The 20,637-nt window shown below is 39.2% G+C and overlaps 1 protein-coding gene across 7 annotated transcripts in view; it reads right to left on the reverse strand.

Annotated features, from left to right (window-relative positions):
* Positions 1-20,637, reverse strand: part of CADM1 (cell adhesion molecule 1) — a 335,180-nt gene that overhangs the window by 117,764 nt on the left and 196,779 nt on the right. Inside the window, exon 1 of one of the 7 annotated variants that reach the window (XM_047426695.1) lies at positions 404-505. The exons of the other annotated variants lie outside the window; for them this stretch is intronic. The gene's annotated coding sequence lies outside the window, so the exon portion shown is untranslated. Of the gene's footprint in view, positions 1-403; positions 506-20,637 lie in introns of those variants that run through there. 7 annotated transcript variants of the gene reach the window in all.

Raw genomic sequence — 20,637 nt, forward strand, 5'->3', positions numbered from 1 at the left:
CACAAAATCAATAAAAGAGAAGTAGTTTCTCCCGACCCCTTCTCCCAACTATTGCCTGTTTGAAACACTGCCTTTCCTTTCTTTTCTGTTTAGATTTAGGGCCAAGCATCCAAAGAAAAGCAGGAACACATTGCATTCTCTCAATTAAGAATGACATGCTATGCAAGAAAAGGAGCTTGTATATCTTGCACTGAAGTTTTTCTTCTGAAGTTTATACACTGATATTCTACAGCACTGAAAACCAGGTTGATGGGGATGGAACTCTAACACCTGCCTCCATGGGGATGATTTCATTATTAGTTGCTGTTATTCTATTGAAAGGTATGATGGACGGAAGAAAGAAACGAAGAAAGGGACAGAGGGTGAGGGGACGGAGGCAGGAAAAAAGGCAAGCCCAGATTACCTGGTTTAAAACCAGAAAAACAAGATGGTCCTTTGAGAGCTCCACGCTCCTGGCCTCACAGGCACACTCTGCTGCTTCTCCAGCGCACTCTAGTCATCTGCCAGAAGAAGCGTTCAAACACAGTGAATTGTATTTGAACACTACCACACTGGAGACAACCAGGCAGCTGACAAACAGCAACAGAGCATCAGTTTTGCTTAACAGTTCTTTGGTGTGGTGAAGATGAGAGTGGCCTCTGAGATTAGGTTACTGAGAATTACTGAGTTACGAATTGCCACAAAACACCAAGTCTCAATTATCTTTACAAAAGGAATAGTGAAATGGATCATCAGAAAGGTTAACCTAACCATTTTTTTGGGATCCATAACATAAATCAAGATAGAAATGATTCGCTCAGTATCTATTTACTGAGACGTACTACATGCCAGGGACTCTTCTAGGTGTTGGGCATATGACGGTATATACATCCAAGTCCTTGTCTTCAGGGAGCATATATCCTAAAGATGGGAGTCAGGCCATAAATAGACAATAACATCATTATGTCAGGTGATGATCAGTGCTTTGAAAACTTTAGGAGAGTTGGGGCAGTGTGTGGGGAGGCTGATATTTCATATAGGGTGGTCAGCAAGGCCTTGTGATGAAATGACATTCTGTGTGAAGAAATTCCATCAGAATCTGGAGCATGTGAAGGAGACAGCCAAGTGAATATCTGTGAGGAAGTGTGTTTCATTCTAGGCAAATGGAGCAATAAAACAAGGGCCCTACAGGGAGAATGGCCTTGGTGTGTTCCAGAAACAGCAAGGAAGCCAGCATGATCAGGAGTAAGAGATGATGTTGGGGAGAGAATGGGTCATCTAGAATTCTAGCAGGACCTCACACATAGCTCCAAATGAAATACTTTTCTTCCAGAAGTCCAGGAGAAAAAATTACATTTTACAGCAAACATTTCAAAGGAACGACAGGGTTTTGTTACTTGCAGAATTTTATGAGTGCTTATTTTATGAAATCAACAATCACCTTCGGGATTTAAAAAAATACAGCATCACATTTATGATTAAGAAAAAAAAAAATCACCAACCCCTGTTTCTATATAACTTGGCTTTCAAATCAGTTTATGCTAAAGAGGGTTACATCAAAGACAAGCAAACTAAAACTACACTGCCCACACAACTTGTGGTCCTTCTCTGATGTACCTCTTCCTATTTCTCTCCCTTGTCCCCACTTCACAGGGCAGTCAGGTACAATGTCTTCCAAGTTCCCACAGTCTCTCAGGCATTCCTATATCATGGCACTTATCATGCTGCCCTGTCACTGTTTGACCCTTGTTTCCTTCCACTACAGATAAAAATATTGTATTTACTTCACTGCAATTGCCTCTCAATGCCTAAAAAAAGTTTCTGGAAACAATGAATGAAAAAGTGGATTGGTACTCAGCTTTCCCACCTTGACCTTCCTCTTTAACCTTCCCATCTTGACCTTCTCCACTGGAGGCAGATGACTCAGGTAGCTCAGAGGGAGCCTCAATTTCAGCTGCCCTCCTCCCTCCTGTTCCTGTAAACCTCACACTACCCCCAGGTTAGGATAAGGAACATGTTGATTTTGCTTAGCTGACTGTTCTCAGGAAGAACTGAAGAAGCCAGAAAAGCTTAAACGTTTCTGGAGATGAAAAATAAGAGTTATTGCCAGGCTCGGTGGCTCACGCCTATAATCCCAGCACTCTGAGAGGCCGAGGCGGGCAGATCACTTAAGGTCAGGAGTTTGAAACCAGCCTGGCCAACATGGTGAAAACCTGTCTCTACTAAAAATACAAAAATTAGCCGGGTGTGGTGGTGGGCGCCTGTAATCCCAGCTACTAGGGAGGCTGAGGCAGGAGAATTGTTTGAACCCGCAGGGTGGAGGTTGCAGTGAGCAGAGATTGCACCACTGCACTCCAGCCTGGGCGACAGAGTGAGATTCCATCTCAAAAAATAAAAAAATAAATAAATCAAGTTATTTATTTACAGATTTTCCTCTGTAATAATTGTCTACCTTTAAGAATGGTGGACGATCTACACTGACACTGTTTAGTATACCTTTCTGGTACAATGAAAATGTTCTGTATCTGCACTGTCCAATATGGTAGTCACTCAACATATGGGAGCACTTGAAGTGTGGCTACAGCGACTAAGGAACTGAATTTTCTTTTTTTTTCTTTTTTTTTTTTTTTTTTTTGAGACAGAGTCTCGCTCTGTCGCCCAGGCTGGAGTGCAGTGGCGCGATCTCCGCTCACTGCAAGCTCTGTCTCCAGGGTTCACGCCATTCTCCTGCCTCAGCTTCCCGAGTAGCTGGGACTATAGGCACCCACCATCACGCCCAGCTAATTTTTTGTATTTTTAGTAGAGAGGGGTTTTCACTGCATTAGCCAGGATGGTCTTGATCTCCTGACCTCGTGATCCGCCCGCCTCGGCCTCCCAAAGTGCTGGGATTACAGGCGTGAACCACCGCGCCCGGCCCTGAATTTTTAATTGTATTGAATTTTGCTTAACTTAAATTCAATAGCCATAAGGGCTAAGTGCTTTCTGTGACACACAGTGTGGGTCTAGAGCCTCCTACAAAGGTATCCTCTCTTTCAGATAGGTCAAAATTGATTTGAATGTAGATTCCACGAGCGCCACAGCGTCGTGCTCAGATCCTAGAACAGTGCCTGGGAGGACTTCAGTGAATGTGGAATTATGCATGCACATGTAAACAGATGGAGGGAAGGGCAGAAAGGTGAGAGCAGTGTCTGCAGAGGCCTGGTGGTTCTGCCTGCAGATAAGCTGGCATTTTCTATACACAGTGGCTCTGCAGTGTTGAGACACTTCTGAGGGGAATGTTCATCTACGTGGTCTATACAACACGCTACTGGGTTAGTTTTTTTTAAAAGCAGGGTATTTTTAAATTAGAGAGGAAAACAGAGCTGATGACTCTTGCCATAGACAGTGGCAGGAAGTCTGCTGGATGGAAGTCACTCAGCTCACTCCTCTGCTTTCCCTAAACATTTAAAAAGTCAGGCATACTGTGCGGGAGAAATGCATTTTTTTAAACCTCATTTGTGATTTTGAGTAGGAAATTAAAACCTGTACACAGGAAAAGAATGAAGCCCTGATGTATTTGATCAGGGGTGCTTTATGAAGAATTTATTATCAGGTAGGAATATCAAATGAGAAACAGAAACAGCACAGAAGCCCCAATAAAACACCAGCATTTGACAAAATAAAACACACACTGATGGGCTTGAGCTGTTGATGGCTGGGGAGATAAGGAAAATAAAAGGAGGAAATTAGAACAAATAAGATGGATGATGTAATTACGAACAGAAAACAAGTGGAGAGGAAGAGAAATTTGAGCTTGTTGGCTATGGAAAGTAAGCTATTTCAACTTGTTTAAATCCAAAGGCTTGTTTAGAGTTCACAAGTGTCATAAAAAACTCTATATTTAAATATCTAAACATCAAATTGGGCCCACAGTGGGCTAAGGGCTTGCATTGACTGGCATCCCGTCTTCAGCATACCAAAACATCTCCAAATAGAATAGCGCAGATCACCTTCAGCTGCCTGACATTAACTCTATACTGCTCCCCACTCCTTGTTCCCATCTGATTGCCTTCAAGATAGCGTAGTGCCCAACATGAAAGGATTACTATAGCAACATAGGAAGCTCTTTTATGGGCATGGAGGAGGCTCTGTGGAGTGGCGCAGGAAATCCAGAGGCGAGAGCAACGAGGAGTGCCCACTGTCAAGCCTTCCTAGAGATTCTTAACTGGAGGATGTGTGTTCCAGGAAATGATTAATGCTTTGAGGGAAAAAAAAATGTTCTAATTGAACATACAGTAATTCTGAATTTTCTCTTTGTGTGACAGATAAGATATAATCACTGAATTTCTTTCTCCAGAGGCTTTGTAGAAAAAAACCCTTTGTGGAAGCAATATCTTCAGTGTCTGAAAGATAGTCTTTTTATATGAAACAAATTCTGCATTGGGTTACTAAAAGCATCCACCTGCTTATCAATCTAAAAGCTGCATCTTTAAAGGTCACAAGTGAAGGAAAATCAGATAGACTCATTCTAATTCCTAGCAAACGGGAGCTCATTTCTCACCAATCCACCCCGCAGCGCTCAGTAGCATGACCTTTCACTTACAAAGAGAACAGCAGATTCTGTCTCTCATGTGCTAGCCTTCCTTCCTCTTCAAGAATTAAATGCAGTTTTGATATTATCATTACACACTTCCATAATATTCCACTGCCCAGGCCTATAAATTAGCATTGCTGTACCAAAATGCCCAGCCAAATCTCTCTCTCACCCTCACTTGGGCCTGCAAGAGAATATTAATTAATACTATCAAAACAGGGTTTAGTATACAGTACTACACAGTCAGAGAAATCTTATAAAACCTGTGACCTGCAGCAGTGAGTGACAAAAAAATTAAAAATGAATATTTAATTGCCTGTTGCTCTTTTAAATTTGGACTGACAAATTCAGCTGGGAAAATAATTCTGAGAGATTGCAGAGCAGCCTTTCTTTGGCATTTCTGAGAATATAGGTGTCTGCATGACATTAGGAAGTAATTGGTATATTGGGAACCTATGGAAAACACAATTGGGAGAATTTTTCACACCTAAGAATAATGAAGACTAGGGGCTTGTCTTCTGTTTCTTACCACCCACTGAAACAACAGCTGGAGGGGTCATCCACCTGGTGTGATGGCAAAAACACTTACTTCCGCACAGTCGCTGACAACCTTGTTCAAGTCTAAAGTCAAGGGATTCCAAATACATACAAGCACACCAAGATGGGAGTATTAAATGGATCAGAGGCAGTCATGTTTACATTAAAACTAAAAGTACCTGTAAGACTGTATCATTTCATTGTCAGAAGAAATTATTTTTTGTAGCTTCATGCAGTAATTTCAGGCAATGTGAATTTAATTGATACCAAGTATAGTAAGCTCATTAATAGTATGCAAGGAGAAATGATTTCAATGGAAAACAAAAAGCAGTCAATTTCACATCTACATGCCTCAACTTCCCTAATATGAAAGAGGGGAAGCACGGCACATCCTTATCTGAGGCCAATTTAAATTCTATGTGGAAGCCAGAACAAATCGGGTGCTCAGAACATTTCAAATTAGTAATAATTAAAAATTCAGAGATGACAAAGTTTCTCCTGAAATAATAATAATCTACACTTGTATGGCATGTTATGATATACCAAGTCATTATCACATTCAATCCTCCAAGGGATATGTGTATCAGGCAGAACAGACATCAGCATGCCCATTTTGTAGATGAGAAAAATGAAACCAGGGGCGGTAGTTCAAATGACAGGCAGATCAGTCAATGGGGGACCCAGAACTCAAATCCTATCAAAGCTTGGCAACCAGTGTCTTTTCCACTATCCTGAAGCAGGATTAACATTTGTTAGAAATATTGTTTTCTTTTTGAACATGTTGAATCAATATTGATATTCTAATTTAGGAGACAAGGACGCCCCTTGCTATTTGCATACTGTAATAGCCTTCAGGATAATTACTGGATAGATCTTTTGAAAAAAGATGCCACATGTTTACACTACTTCACTGCTTTTAGAAAAGTAGATATATGACATTTACCAAATGCTGCAGCACAATTAGCCATCATTTAAACTACTGTGAAGAAACGACATTAAAAGAGGAGAAGAGGCAGAAAATCAAAGTTTCCAATGACTTTTTTTATAGCTAAAAGATCCAGGGCCGGGTGACGGTGACTCACGCCTGTAATCCCAGCATTTTGGGAGGCCAAGGTGGGTGGATCCCGGGGTCAGGAGATCAAGACCATCCTGGCTAACATGGTGAAACCCCGTCTCTACTAAAAAACACAAACAATTAGCTGGGCGTGGTGGCGGGCGCCTGTAGTCCCAGCTACTCGGGAGGCTGAGGCAGGAGAATGGCGTGAACCCGGCAGGCGGAGCTTGCAGTGAGCGGAGATGGCGCCACTGCACCCCAGCCTGGGCGACAGAGCGAGACTCCGTCTCAAAAAGAAAAAAAAAAGATCCAGTATAACTATTCTGCCCTCCAGAGACCCCAGAAACTCTTCTGAAGATCTCTGAGGTTTCCATCCCTTATTCCACAGCACATGAACAAAAAACCCAACTTGTAATTAAAGTTTCTATCCTACAGTCTCATCTAACCCAAAATCATAAATTTGAAGCAAACATACAAAATGTTATACTGTAAATGCCCTGGAGCCAGTATTATTGAATGAGACAACCACAGTAGTTTTTGTCTCATTATTGCTTAATAATATTTATTATTATTGGCTATGATTAGTTGTGTTATTATGCTGCCTAAGCCAAGGATTTAGCAGACTTCAGTTAGTAATCAACAACTGTAGTTTAAGTCCCAAATTCAAGCACAGAAACAGAATAAGAAGCAAACTTTTTATTTCTCAGGCATAAGGCCAGTTATTCTATATAAATGATCTTCAGACTCTATGATTTAGAATCTGAAGGTACTCTACGGTCTGAACTCACAGGGTTCAGATTCTGTGATTTAGAGAGGTAAATAAGGAAATTAAAACAACATATCTTAAGTTATTTCACAAGCAAGAATCAGATATTGAGATTCATGATGGCTTCCTGATACCCACCACTGTTCAGTTTGGAGTATTAGGTGGGGTGAAGTATCTCAGCAGTGCAGGTAATAACCAGGACAATGCTCAGATGGCTACTGGCCAGGAAACATGATCAGGATGAGCCTGCCTCTCCAGACGTAGCCTCTGGTGACCCCTACCACACCCCTCTAGACTCTTCACAAGGAACCTGGGCTGCCTTCTCAAGTCATGCATTTGCCAGAGGAGGCCTCTGCTAGCACCACTGAGAAACACAGCCTGTTCTCCAGTGGTGGTGTGTGTACACCTACAGCCTCCACTTCCTCACCAAACCCTCCTTCCTTCAGCTCTTACCATTTTAATGCAACTGAACTACTGAAACTACTCTCTTGAAACAATTTCTTCTTAAACATTACACTCAATAGCCCGTTCTCATCTACCGCCATCTCTTCTAGTATTTAATACTGTGCTGACCCACTCCCACCTCAGCACTCTCCCTTTAACTTTGGGAAGGGCCTTCCTCTTCCTCTGGCTTTTTTCATTTTTTTGTACCACACCCACCTCCAATTCCTCCTTTGCTTCCTGCCCATTAAATGTGGCTATTCTTCTGAGGGTTCTTATAAGGTAATAAAATAGAGAGGGAAGCCTCAGGTGATTATAAAATTTTCAAAAAGATCTCAAAAAGCCTAAATAAAAATTTTACTTGTGATAAGCCTCCTCACTCATACACAGAATTATGTCAGCTCAGCTGGGCGCAGTGCTCACGCCTGTAATCCCAGCACCTTGGGAGGAGGAGGTGGGTGGATCATCTGATGTTAGGAGTTCAAGACCAGCCTGGCCAACATGGTGAAACTCCGTCTCTACTAAAAAAAATACAAAAATTAGCCGGGCATGGTGGCATGCACCTGTAATCCCAGCTACTCCAGGAGGCTGAGGCAGGAGAATTGCTTGAACCTGGGAGGTGGAGGTTGCAGTGAGCCGAGATCACGCCACTGCACTCCAGCCTGGGCAACAAGAGTGAAACTCAGTCTCAACAACAACAACAACAAAAAGAATTATATCAGCTCAATGACACAGCAATGCTTATTAGTTAATCTAGTTTGCTTAGAGATGTTTTATCAGATGCTATCAATTCAACCATGAATTGTTTCTACACTCTGACGCATTTCATCCACTCCCAACTCCATGTTGACAATAGAGTCCTGGGCACTTTCACTTGCATCAGTGAGCATTCAACAAGTTCACGGCAAAATCCATCACATCAGTACGTCCACCTGCTCTTCCTTCTGGCCTCTCTCTAAGTTACTTTCACTCCCTCATTTGTGATCACTTGCCCTGCCTTTGTACATTCCACATCCTTGAGGTCAGTCTTCATGTCTCTCTCCCACTGCTTCTGCCCTGGTTAAAGTACTCAGTACTCCTTGTTGGACTATTAGGATCTCCCAGGCTCCACTCTCTGCCGTCTGCAATCCATACTATATGCTTTGATCAAGATATTTTATATATATATATATATATATATATATATATATATATATATATAATATATATGTATATGCACATATATAATATACACACATATATAAATTCTGCAATTTCCCTTCTTAAAAGGCTTCAATTACTTCTACTTCCTGCTTTCTACTGAAGAAAATCCGAAGTTCCTAACATAATATTCAAATCTCTAAAGGATCTACTACAATCTGCTTTTTCAGCATGATTTCTCATAGAATTACTCTCTCCAGGTTTTTGATCAAACTAGCCTACAACATACTGTTCTCTCACCATGACTTGGGGTTTCCTGTTTCTATGCTTTATCTAATGCTGGTCCTTCTATTTAGAATACCTTCAACTATTAATACTATATTCTTAAATGCTACAAATCTTCCTCATTTGTCAATGCTTAACTTAAGGGCTCCGCCTTTCATAAAGGCATTTTCTTTCTTTTCTTATATATTTTTTAAGAAACAGGGTCTCACTCTGTCACCCAAGCTGGAGTGCAGTGGTGCAACCATAGTTCACTATAACCTGGAACTCCTAGGTACAAGTGATCCTCCTGCCTCAGCCTCCCGAGTAGCTGGGACTACAGGTGAGTGCACCCATGCCCAGCTAATATTTTTTGGCCTTAGTAAGACAGGGTCTTACTACGTTGCCCAGGCTGGTCTTAAACTCCTGGGCTCAAGCAATCCTCCCATCTCAGACTCCCAAAATGCTGGGATTATAGGCATGAACGACTGTGCCTGGCCCATAAAGACATTTTCTATTAGCCCCACTGGAAGTGAGTTCTCCCTCCACTGGAGTAGTGCTATGCCTTAAGTTTGCCCGCACCAAAACTCATGTTGAAATCTGGTCCCCAGTGTGGTGGGTTTGGGAGATAAGGCCTAGTGGGAGGTGTCTGGGCTATGAGGGCAGATCCCTCATGAACATCTTGGTGCTGGTTCTTGCTGCTTTTGCAGTAGTGAGTTCTCACTCTGGTGAGACTGGATTAGCTCTTGTGGAAATGGATTAGTTCCCTAGAGAGTGGGTTGTTATAAAGCCAGGACACTCTTCAGGTTTCCTCCTCTTTGCACGTGTCTGCATCTCCTTTGATCTTCTCTACCATGTTATGACACAGCATGAAAGCCCTCACCAGAAGTCAGGGACATGCCCTTAAACTTCCTAGCCTGCAGAACCATGAACTACATAAATCCCTTTTCTTTATAAATTATCTCACTTTGGGTACTCTGTTTTAGCAAGACAAAACAGAATGAGACAAGTACCATGCCGCTTTTTGAGTATTTTCTTATAGAAATCAATGTATAATGTTTCTCTTATAATTAATCTACATGAATCTCATCTTTAGAGTGTGGACAGTATCTCACTCTTGAATCACACACAGTCCTATACATAATGGGTTTGTCTTAATAAGTATTTGACAAGGGAATACATAAATAAATCAGTGAATTAAATTCCTGACTTTCTACTGCCAATTTTTTAAAACAAATCAGTGTTTAGCAGATTGCAGCATCTATGTAGAACAAGCTTCTTTTGTATCCAGTAAATATAATGCTTCAAGTATTCCTATAGTACATTCCCCTCCTTGCTATACAGTATTTGGCTTTGAAGAATAAATTAGCACAAGGGTTTCACTGGATATGCAATAGAAAATTAGCTTCTCATAAAATGGTTCAGTTCAAGTTTATTAGAAAGCTCTCAGTTTTACTGTTTTGCTTTGTGGGAAATTTTGTGTTAACTATGATCAGAAATGGTGGAAAGCAGAGCTGCACTGACAGACCGTCTAGGATCAGAGAGACCTGGATGATGCAATTAAAAGGTGGACAGACAGGTAGACAGATGTTCAGCTGCATGATCAGGAACAAGATTGTATAAAAAAGGCTTCTTTGATCATTAGAGATACTGCTGTAATGAAGCCCTGGATACCTACTCGGTGTTTGTGCCGGCTCTCATCTCCAGCAGGTGTCTTATAGAGAAAATAAGGCAAACACAAACAGATCCACTGCCAGCTAGTCAAAGCCGCTTGGCATTTTTTCCTGTTGATTAAGCCACAGATAAAATCATACATGTTGTGCTTCTGACACAGGCAGAGTATGCAATTCCTGAATCGTTACAGAATACATCTTTCTGAAATATTTCAGCATCCATTACTCTACTGAGATCAAGAAACTAATATATGTTCAATAGATTATCCTATGTGATCCAATGCATCCCTAAGGGCCAAGAACATGACACAAACTGTAAGCACCAAAATGGATTTAAAAGCCAAACACACTAAAGGATGGTGAATTTGAGAAATGCAGGTAAATTGTGCATGAGTAGACAGAACACTGGGGTTTAAGAATAACTAACTCTTGGTTATGTAGAAGAATGGAGAGCTGCACTAATGTGGAACAGCCAAAACGGCAGAGCTAAATGTCATTCATATTTACCTCTGGACTGCACTGCATGGTCCCTTAGAAGTAACATTGGCCTCTCATTTCTGCATAGTTTAAAATAAGAGTGGATTCTCTCATCACACAGAGGCAGAATATGCAGTTTGTGAATTGTTACAGATTCACCACCAACTGACAGGGATGTAGGTGGTAATTAGGGATTCTCATGGGAATAATTGTTGCCGTGAATAATCCACAAAGTAGAGACTTAGACACAAGTCTCAGCAATGCTACTGACACCCTTCTGTATTGGGCATGCCAATTTATCTCCTTGTCTTGGCTTCCTCATCTGAAACACAGAAACAATTTTAACACTTGTTATTTGTCTGGTAGGGATTTTAGGAACGTAAATAAGATGCTCTAAGAAGCTATGTGATTCACAGTAGCATCATTTCTTACTGAATCTCTTGACTGATTCTGGCTCTAAGGATAGAATGAGGAGAAGAAGAAAGGGAAGGAGGCAGGAAGAGAAAGACGATGAGACCCAGTCACTAGATCCTATTTTCATGGCTTGGGGCAGAGGTGAATGCCTCAGTAAATCACACTTTCAAAGACAGATGGTCCTCTTTAACAATAACTTCTCCTCCTAGTCACCACTTCATCTTGTAAGAGACTTTAGCTCCGTATGTTCATGAATCATTGATCCTGTTACAATTGTAATGACACAAATCTGAAAGATATGATGACATTTTACCAGCGTGGTGAGTTTTTGAGAAAGAGTTGGAAAGATGCAACATTTTAAGTTACAGGTTGGAAAATCAGCGAAGACACCATTGTTTTCCTATTTCCTTCTCTACAGTTTACAGTTACAAAGCTCACTCCCAACACACTTTAATTAGCCACTCACTGTCACGTGGTATTTACTAAATATAGAAGGATGAGGAGAATGGCTGGCTGCCCTCCTTCTCGGTTACAGTGGTTCTCTCTGCACTAGCTTTCCGTGAGCAGCCCTTTGCACCACCACTTGAAATCTCAATATTATAGCCCACTCTCTGATGTTACCTGAACACTGCCAGGTCAGACTCTCTCGGAATACTAATATCAAGAAGATCACCATGACATCTGCCTACTGTAGGTAACAATGACCAACCATAAAGGTAATCTTAAATTGGGTTCTCTTTCAAGATATCACTAACTCAAATTGCTTTTGTCATAGTTCTTTTCAAAAAAATATTTTCAATTTAGAACTGGAAGGAAACATGAAAGACTGGGCCTGACTGCCCGTGAAGTTCACTGCTATTGCAGTGCTAAATGGGCATAGACTGGGAAGACAAATGAAATAAGACAAATGCACACTCTCCCTTATGCTCAAGTACAGTATTTAATACAGCTGAACATGGCATTTATTTTTATCTTTGACAGAACCACAAATGGCCACTGACTTTATCTGCAGATGGGATATTCTCAAAAATATTTTCTCCCTGCCCCACAGGGAGAACAAATTTTTTTGTTTACCAGCAGTGAGAATTGGTGAACATGGTGTATGTACTTTTTCTCCCCTTCAACCATCATTAAAGATTAAACATCAGTAACTCAATAAATTCTAGAAATAACAGCTGAAAATGCATGAGAATGGCAAGACCAGACACCAATACGCATCATGGTGGAAAGATGTTTAAAAGGTATGTCCTGTAAATTAGGAGATATTTATATAGTATATAGAATCTCAAAGTTGCACTGCTTTATTATTTTGAAATCCATTCTTATATTCCTGCAGAGTTTTGCAGTCTGACCTATTTGTCTTAAGGTTGGACTCCATTATACATTCTTAAGAAGCAGAAGCAAGACGGAGATGGCCTTGAAAATCACCATCAACATTGTAATCAGTCTCTTTGATAGAGGTGATACAGAGCACTGACACTTTAGCCGCCATTTTCTCTTAAAATGGTATTCTCATTCATTTGAAGACAGAAGCAGAGGACCCTGCCTTGAATTTGCAATGTTTAAAAATGGGAGAAATACACTATTTGATTCAATGTTCAGACATTAACAAAGTGCATTCAAGGAATCTAAATCAGAAAAAAAGGAAAGAAAACTTAGTTTGTAGTAATCTTTCCATAAAAGCATCCAAAATTCCTTTCTGATTGAAAACTGTGATTTCAGATTAGCTACTCTAAATGTATTATAAAAAGCAAATGCAACAGACTTTTTTTGGTTGATCCAGCCTAAATTAGGCTACAAAAAGGGAAGTAAAACATTAAAACAAACACAAACATAGATACATACAACTCTCAGTACTGTTAGCTACTCGGTGATGATGTGAATAACATTCCTAGAGACCTCCTGAAGATGAGAATTTTCAAGGGGCTCCTGCGTCTAAATTATGGTAATAATTCCTACCCTCTTAATCATGAATGGTAACTACAAATAGAAGATAGAAACTCTTTTCTTGGCTTTTAGGCTTTAAATACATCCTCACTTTAAAAACAGATCCCATCATCTGTCTTTAGACAGGAGTGTGTTTACTCACAGGAGTGAAGGTCTAAGATGCTGCCTTGAGAAAGATAAAATTAAGGCATCAAAGAATCCAAAATACAATTTTATGTTAATATCTGGCTTCCTTTATTTTATACCAATATACAGTGAATCTTACTTCTTAAGCATATATATCACAGAAAGCACATACTATCGAAATTCTGTCCTGAAGAACTCTTGAAACAAAATTTGCTGGAGTAATATTTCTCAACCTATACAAAGGGAATGCTCGTATCCCTATTTACAATGTACCTTAACAGCCTATGTCTAGCATCATTATAATTAAGAAGCAAAACTATGAAATGGAAAGACAACAAGAAAACGAGCACATGGAGGGCTGCTTCCTCATAGTTTCACCATGATCATCACTGATTATGATCATCCGGAAGAGGTGAATACATTATTTAAAACTGTGAGATATGCATGTAGGCTCTGGTCATAAAACTACATTTGTCCTAGTAAAGCTCAATTTAAGGTTGGGCTCCAAATTGCAAAAGTTCCGAGGAGAAGGGAGTTTCTCTAACCATCTATGAAGCACTAGCCTTTCCCTGAGCAAAGCATTTTGCCTCCACCGCCCCCCCACCACTCAAATAGAACTTTAGCACCTCCTTTATTGCTCACAGTTTCTCTTGTACTTCAGGGGATTTACACTGAGTGAGGGCAGGAGAATCCCTAGTCTAAAGCAAAATTCTGTATTGATATTTAGGATGATTTCAGCATCAGCACATTAGACTGAAGGCATGGATGAAAGATTGTGGTTATTATTCCTAAAGCTGACTCACCCTCACAGAAGAGCCCACAGCTACTGAAAAGGGTTCTATTTTTTTTCAAAAGAGGGATAGGATAGTGTGAGTTGGCCATGGCAAATGAAAAAGCCCAGCTTCACTTTCTATGTGTATGACACAGCCCGGGAGGGAAATAGGCATGACAGTAATGAGACTTGGGTGTTGGGAAGTTTAGTTTGAAGAGCAGAGCACTAATGGTTTCCAGTTGAGATGTTCAATTCAGTCCTCTTACTAGTCTTACTTGAAGTCAAAACAAAACAAAACAAACAAATAAAAAATAACCCTAGTCTTTCAGAGTCTTTTGAGAGTGCATCACATAAAAATATCTTGTGATCATCTACAAGGTGCAACATCACATTTATATCATATAAAACTGACATGTAGACCTTTGTACTTTACTGATCATATAGCCCCCAAGCCATGTTCTGTGAGCAGTAATATGATACAGTGCATAAAAGCTGGAATTCTAGGCTTAGACAGAACTTAGCTCCAAGTTCCAATCCAGACTTCGCTGTTCATTTGGTGTGTGACTTTGGCTTATTCAATTTCTCTAAGTCTCACCTTCCTCAACAGAAATTAAAAATAAAACAGTAAAAAAGAGATAACAGTACACACCCCATAACATTATAAGAATTAAATAGCAATGCACTCAAAATGCTTATCACAGATCATGAGGAAGTTTTTTGTTGTGACAGAATTGTTCTGTGTCTTGAGAACATATATATTTCTTAAAACTTCAGAACTATACATACACAAAATAAAATGTTACTGTATAATTTTGAAAATGAAATGAAAATATATATGTACATGTAAAAATGATATCAGGTAAAGCATTCAGTAAACGCAGACACACACACACATACAAACACATTACCACGGTGCCTAGTACCTAATTTGAAAATGTTCATTACTACACACGGACACATAGAGGGGAACCACACACACCGGGGCCTATTGGAGGGGGAAGGGTGGAAGGAGGGAGCGTATCAGGAAAAATGACTAATGAGTATTAGGCTTAATACTGGGGTGATGAAATAATTTGTACAACAAACCCCCTTTACACAAGTCTTCCTATGTAACAAACCTGCACATGTATTCCTGAATTTAAAGTTCAGAAAAACAGAAATGTTTCTTATAGTCATTATGTGAAATAGAATTTCTCAGATTCCCATGTTTGTAACCCCAAACCTATAATAAACCTACAAATAGCAAGTGCATTTTTTAAACTGATATATCAAAGAAACTTGATGGGAGTTTTCCAGATTTTTCCTACGAAAATACAGTGGGAAAGGTATTATGGAGTCATATCAGGCAATTCAAACCATTATATTTTCTAGATTTTGTGAAGTTTATAGTATGTGTTAGCTTTGTAAAGTTTGTACTTTGTTGTTATTTATTTTCTCATTCTAAATAAATGCTCATTTTCTTACCTAAAAAAAGAAAAAAAGAAAATGTTCATTATTGATATAGTTTTTGCTACTGGGGTTATTGTCATTAGCAAACCTGATAGAATATAGGTAACCAGGGTGACAAAAATAAAGGAGGCAACTGGTTGGCCCAGGAAAGGTTCTCAATGAAGGGAGATGGAGTGATAGACAAAGGGTGATGCACTGGGTCACCATTGGTGACCCAACGGTGGCAGCATTGGATTATAGCCAGGAGTAAGGCTGTGTATGAGTGGAGCAATGTTGCCATCTCTGTGCTGCTTCCAGGTTAGGAAGAAGACACATTACCAGTTGCAATTACAAGATGCCAGAAGAAAAAAGGAAAGAAAAAGAGCAGCTATTTCTGCTGCTAGACATGAAAACAAACCAACTGAGAAAAGTGCTTTGATGAGCAGAGTGTATGCTGCTGGGTGTGTGGGCTGGATTCTACCTCATCCCCCAAAAGGGGGGCAACAAATAATCTCCCAGGTTCAGATGGGTGTGGTACAAAAAAGCCAGCCAAGTATACATTCTCTTCTTAATAACCTTAAATCCTGTCCTCCTTTCTAGTGTAAACGTTCAGCATATGAAGCTGGAAAGGGGAATACTTTTAAGGAGGCAAAGTATAAGGGAAACAATTCAATACCAGATTCCAGTATGCATGTAATCACTGAGATTTTCTATGCCTGCATTTGAAAAAATGATGTTTTTGCCCAAGAGCCAGTAAGTCATTGGCTGCCACAGATCATATAATGTGTTGACGCTCCCCGGTGGGCAAGCAGACAACAGGAAAGCACTTATCTGGTTGTGAAAATGCATTCCTTCTCCATATGCAAGTCTATTTTTCTTCCTGCAATAAACTACATTTATTTGATTCTGTATCTGATAGTTTTATAGTGTTTGTTCACATACTCACTAATTTGCAAGATTGTGTAATTTGCATGGGTCTCATAGGTCATTAGTGCAAACTAACAGCATTCTGTAAAAGATAAAGCAAGAAAAACTGGCACTTTGTCATAGTGTACAGGTAAACGTCACATCTCAATTTAGGAACTTGACACCCCAAATCTACTCTTTCCTCGGAGAAGAAGCAGATTTTACTCCCCCTCCCCACAACCCTGTGCCCTACCGGGAGATGGGAAGCATTAGTGAAAGAGATTCTAACCTACCTCTTTAATCTCCAGGTTGTGATATATTTTGAGAATATACAACTGTATTCATATCCTGGCGCTTGTCCACCCTAAATAGTTTACCATTTATATTTGAACCTGAAAAGAAGGCACAAAGGCCTCCTTCCTATACAATCCCCTAGGCCTTCTTTTTGGCATGGAAAGCACATACATTTTTGCAAAATTATTCAGTGTATACAGCTGCATTCTACAGTTTTCATTAAGAATTCAAGAGATGAAAACTGTTGGCTTCTATAGGAAAGTGACCAAATCTACAGGGATATTATGTACAAATAGTCTGGTTAGAATAATAAATGCTGCATGTGCTTTATAATGTTAGACATGTGCAACATGGATTCATTTGTGATCTGAGTCTCAGATTTTAAAAAATGGATCTTTGCCTGCCTTGAGATAAACTTAAGTAAATAATGTTTGCCATCAACTCTAAATGAAGAATGACAGTTAAATTTTATAATCATCTTCACAGCTTCAGGACTTACTTTATATTTTCTCAGGCTCATGACCCAAAGGTTGCCATAGCAACTAGGAAATCCTACCTTATCAAGCGCTTACATTTACATTCCTTGCAGCAGCTCCCCGTTATGAATTAAATCCATCATGGTCTTCTATTCTCAAAATAAAAAGTTCTTAGGATTATCTTGCAGAAACAAGGATCAAATGCTTTGATAGAAAAACACCATGCAAAAGTTAATTCAATGGTGGTTTTCTTTAGGAAGAGATATAACTATGGCATAATAAACAGCTTATGTCCAAACTTCCTGGCTTCAAAGAAAACTTAAATAGAGATATTGTGCTAAAAATGACACATTTACTCCCTATGCATTTCATCTTAGAATTATCAAAGCAATAATCTGATTGGATATCATACCACAAACAGGTATACAAAGAATTAAAATTGTGTAAGATAAAACCCTGTTACATACGCTTATAAATATTAATAACATAACAAATGTTAAATTCACAACTCAAATTAAAAAAAGGAAACAAATGACAAGCTTCACTTTTATTAAGTGCCTATTGTCAGACAGTTTTTGTCCTTGATTTTGGAGTAGTTAAATTACCAGGTAATATGAGGTCACTGCCTTTTTGCTTATGGCTGTATGGAATCATTATGTAAACAATGGCAAAAACCTATCAACTGTCCATCTCTGACAGAAATGAATGGTAAATTATGACTACTCCTCTTAGTCACAAGTACAATTCAAGACTGCACAGACTGTCTCAACCATGCACGAAATAGACACCTAGACAGGAGACATAGAAGCTCACAGATGGTGAAATGAGAACTCACTCAACTAAGTGGGGAAACCAACTTCTGAGAGATAACACCGAAATCCAAATCACCCGGAGCCCTCAAATCAAAGCTTGACAAGTGCTTAATATGAGATGATGTTGAGATAGAAAAAAATTAGATTCTAGCCTCACCTGCCATGCAACACCCAGAAGGCCACAAGATTATCTGGACTCCTGCCTACGGGCGCCTTCCAGCTCAGACAAGTATCTGATTATATACACAGACCTCAACCCAGTTCGCATTATCAGAAAGCACTTTCCTCTCTCACTGGTTTTAATATGTATCTATCCAATTCTGTCTTTGAAATTCCTCTCCTTTTCTGTGTTTTCAGTCCTCTGCTTCCTCTAGTCAGTTTTTGCTTTTTTGTCCTTTTGGTCTCTACTGCTTATTCTCTGCACCTTGATTCTCAATCTTTTCTCTCCTCTCTAGCTTGGAGAGCCACAGCACAATGAGATAAGGGATAAATAGAGCATTGGCTGGCCACAATGAAAGAGGCATTCTTTAAAGTTCTGTTAAAATCCAGTTTCTTCTACCAGCACTAGCTCCCTCCTCCCCTCTGTGTTTTCTGCAGCTAATAGGGAACTAGTATCTTGACTTGAGATTTTTTTAGGATGGGCAACAGCCTTAGAATTCTAAGGCATTCAAAAAGGTGAAGCACCAAAATACTTTATTAGTGACTCATGTTAGAGCTAGAAACAGACCAGCCAGTCATTCGTTTCAGGATATTTAGTTCTGATCAAATTCTGCTACAGTGTAAAAAGAATATGCCAGCCTGGGCTACAGAGCGAGACTCCATCTCAAAAAAAAAAAAAAAAAAAAAGAATATGCCATGTAAACTTTCAGGCACTATAATATATAATTTTGATTATATAGAATTCCTACACATTTTCCTATATATCAAACCACTTTCAGCAATAAGCATTACTAAACTTCAAAATTTTAATTAAGGGATATTTGCAGAGGATATATACCACACACACACACACACACACACACACACACATACCGTCATGTGCCATATAACAATGTTTTGGTCAATGATGGACTGCATACAGGATAGTGGTCCCATAAGATTATAATACTGTATTTTTAGTGTACCTTTTCTATGTTTAGATATGTTTAGATACACAAACACCATTGTGTTACAATTGATTACAGTATTCAGTGCAGTAACATGCGTACAGGTTTGTAGCGTAGGAGCAATAGGCCATACTATAAAGCCTAGGAGTGTAGTAGACTACACCATCTATGTTTATGTAAATAGACTCAGTGATGTTCACACAATGACAAAATTGCCTAACAACACATTTCTTAGAATGTATCCCTGTTGTTAAGCAATGCATGACTACATCACCTACTAAGATTAATGGTCATCTACTCACTTCTAGCAGTTCTATATTAAAGACATAGATATAACAGAATTCTTCTAAAATTTTTCATAGTCATTGGTACAGAACAGAATCTGGGATAACATTTATCTAGTACTGAACGTGGTATAAGAGAAAGGCCTTGTTTTCTATGTCTTAGACTTCCGGGTCATTAACAAGTAGGATTGTGTAGGACTACTCTTAAAATTAGTAAGCAAGATGAAGTGTCACAGAATTATCTCCCCTGACTAAACTTAGAAGTTAACCAAAGCTTTAATACAAGGGAAATTTCTGGAAAGCTCTTTGATAAGCATGACTTCACTATCCAGTAATGAAATTCACAGACATGTCAATGTCCAAACATATAGACATGCAACAGTTTTAATTTGGTTAATGCACTTTCTATTCATTACTGGGCCTCAGTAAAAACTCGATATCCAACTTATGGATGCATTGCTTAATTACCCATGCTTCACTTTCAAATTGAGAAGGATTTAAGTTGTCCATCAATATTCCATGCAGGGTAGCATGGAGTGAGTGAGTGATGTAGTCAGAATGTCAAAGAGAGAGCTGGCATCATGCAATAGCATTCAAATAGTTACAGTATTTCAGGCCAATCAAATGCACATGATATTTATAACATATATTTAAATGCTTTCATTTCTACTTATCTGGATTTCCATATTTGAGGGCAAACTTAAGTTTCCACATTGCAGAGATAGTTGTTATAGATATGCCCCTAACCCATTTAAAAGTAAGTGTTGGCTATACTTGGTAATCAGCATTTACAATTACAAGAGCCCAAATAATTTTTAGCAATTTTCCTTTGCAAAAAGTAACTTGAAAAGTTTAAATGTCCCAGGTATCCAGATCTTGCAAATCAGAAAACATGTTCCTCAAAGGGACCTATCCTCTCTCAGCAAGAACACCAAAAATGCAGTTACCCTGTTTCCTATGAGACAAGAAGACAAAAAATATAAATACAAAATTTAAAAATCAGAAGAACATTTTTAAATGAATTTTCAACTATTTAAGCCAGGAAAAAAAAAATATATATATATATATATGCTGAGACCCAATTACTAAAATAGGCTAATGCCAAGGTTGACAGTGATCTTTATGTTGCTTCAGGTCTTTAGGATTAACTAGATCCTAAGTATTCAGGTTC

The sequence above is a fragment of the Homo sapiens genome, chromosome 11 (assembly GCF_000001405.40).
Source record: "Homo sapiens chromosome 11, GRCh38.p14 Primary Assembly".
NCBI classification, from domain to species: domain Eukaryota; kingdom Metazoa; phylum Chordata; class Mammalia; order Primates; family Hominidae; genus Homo; species Homo sapiens.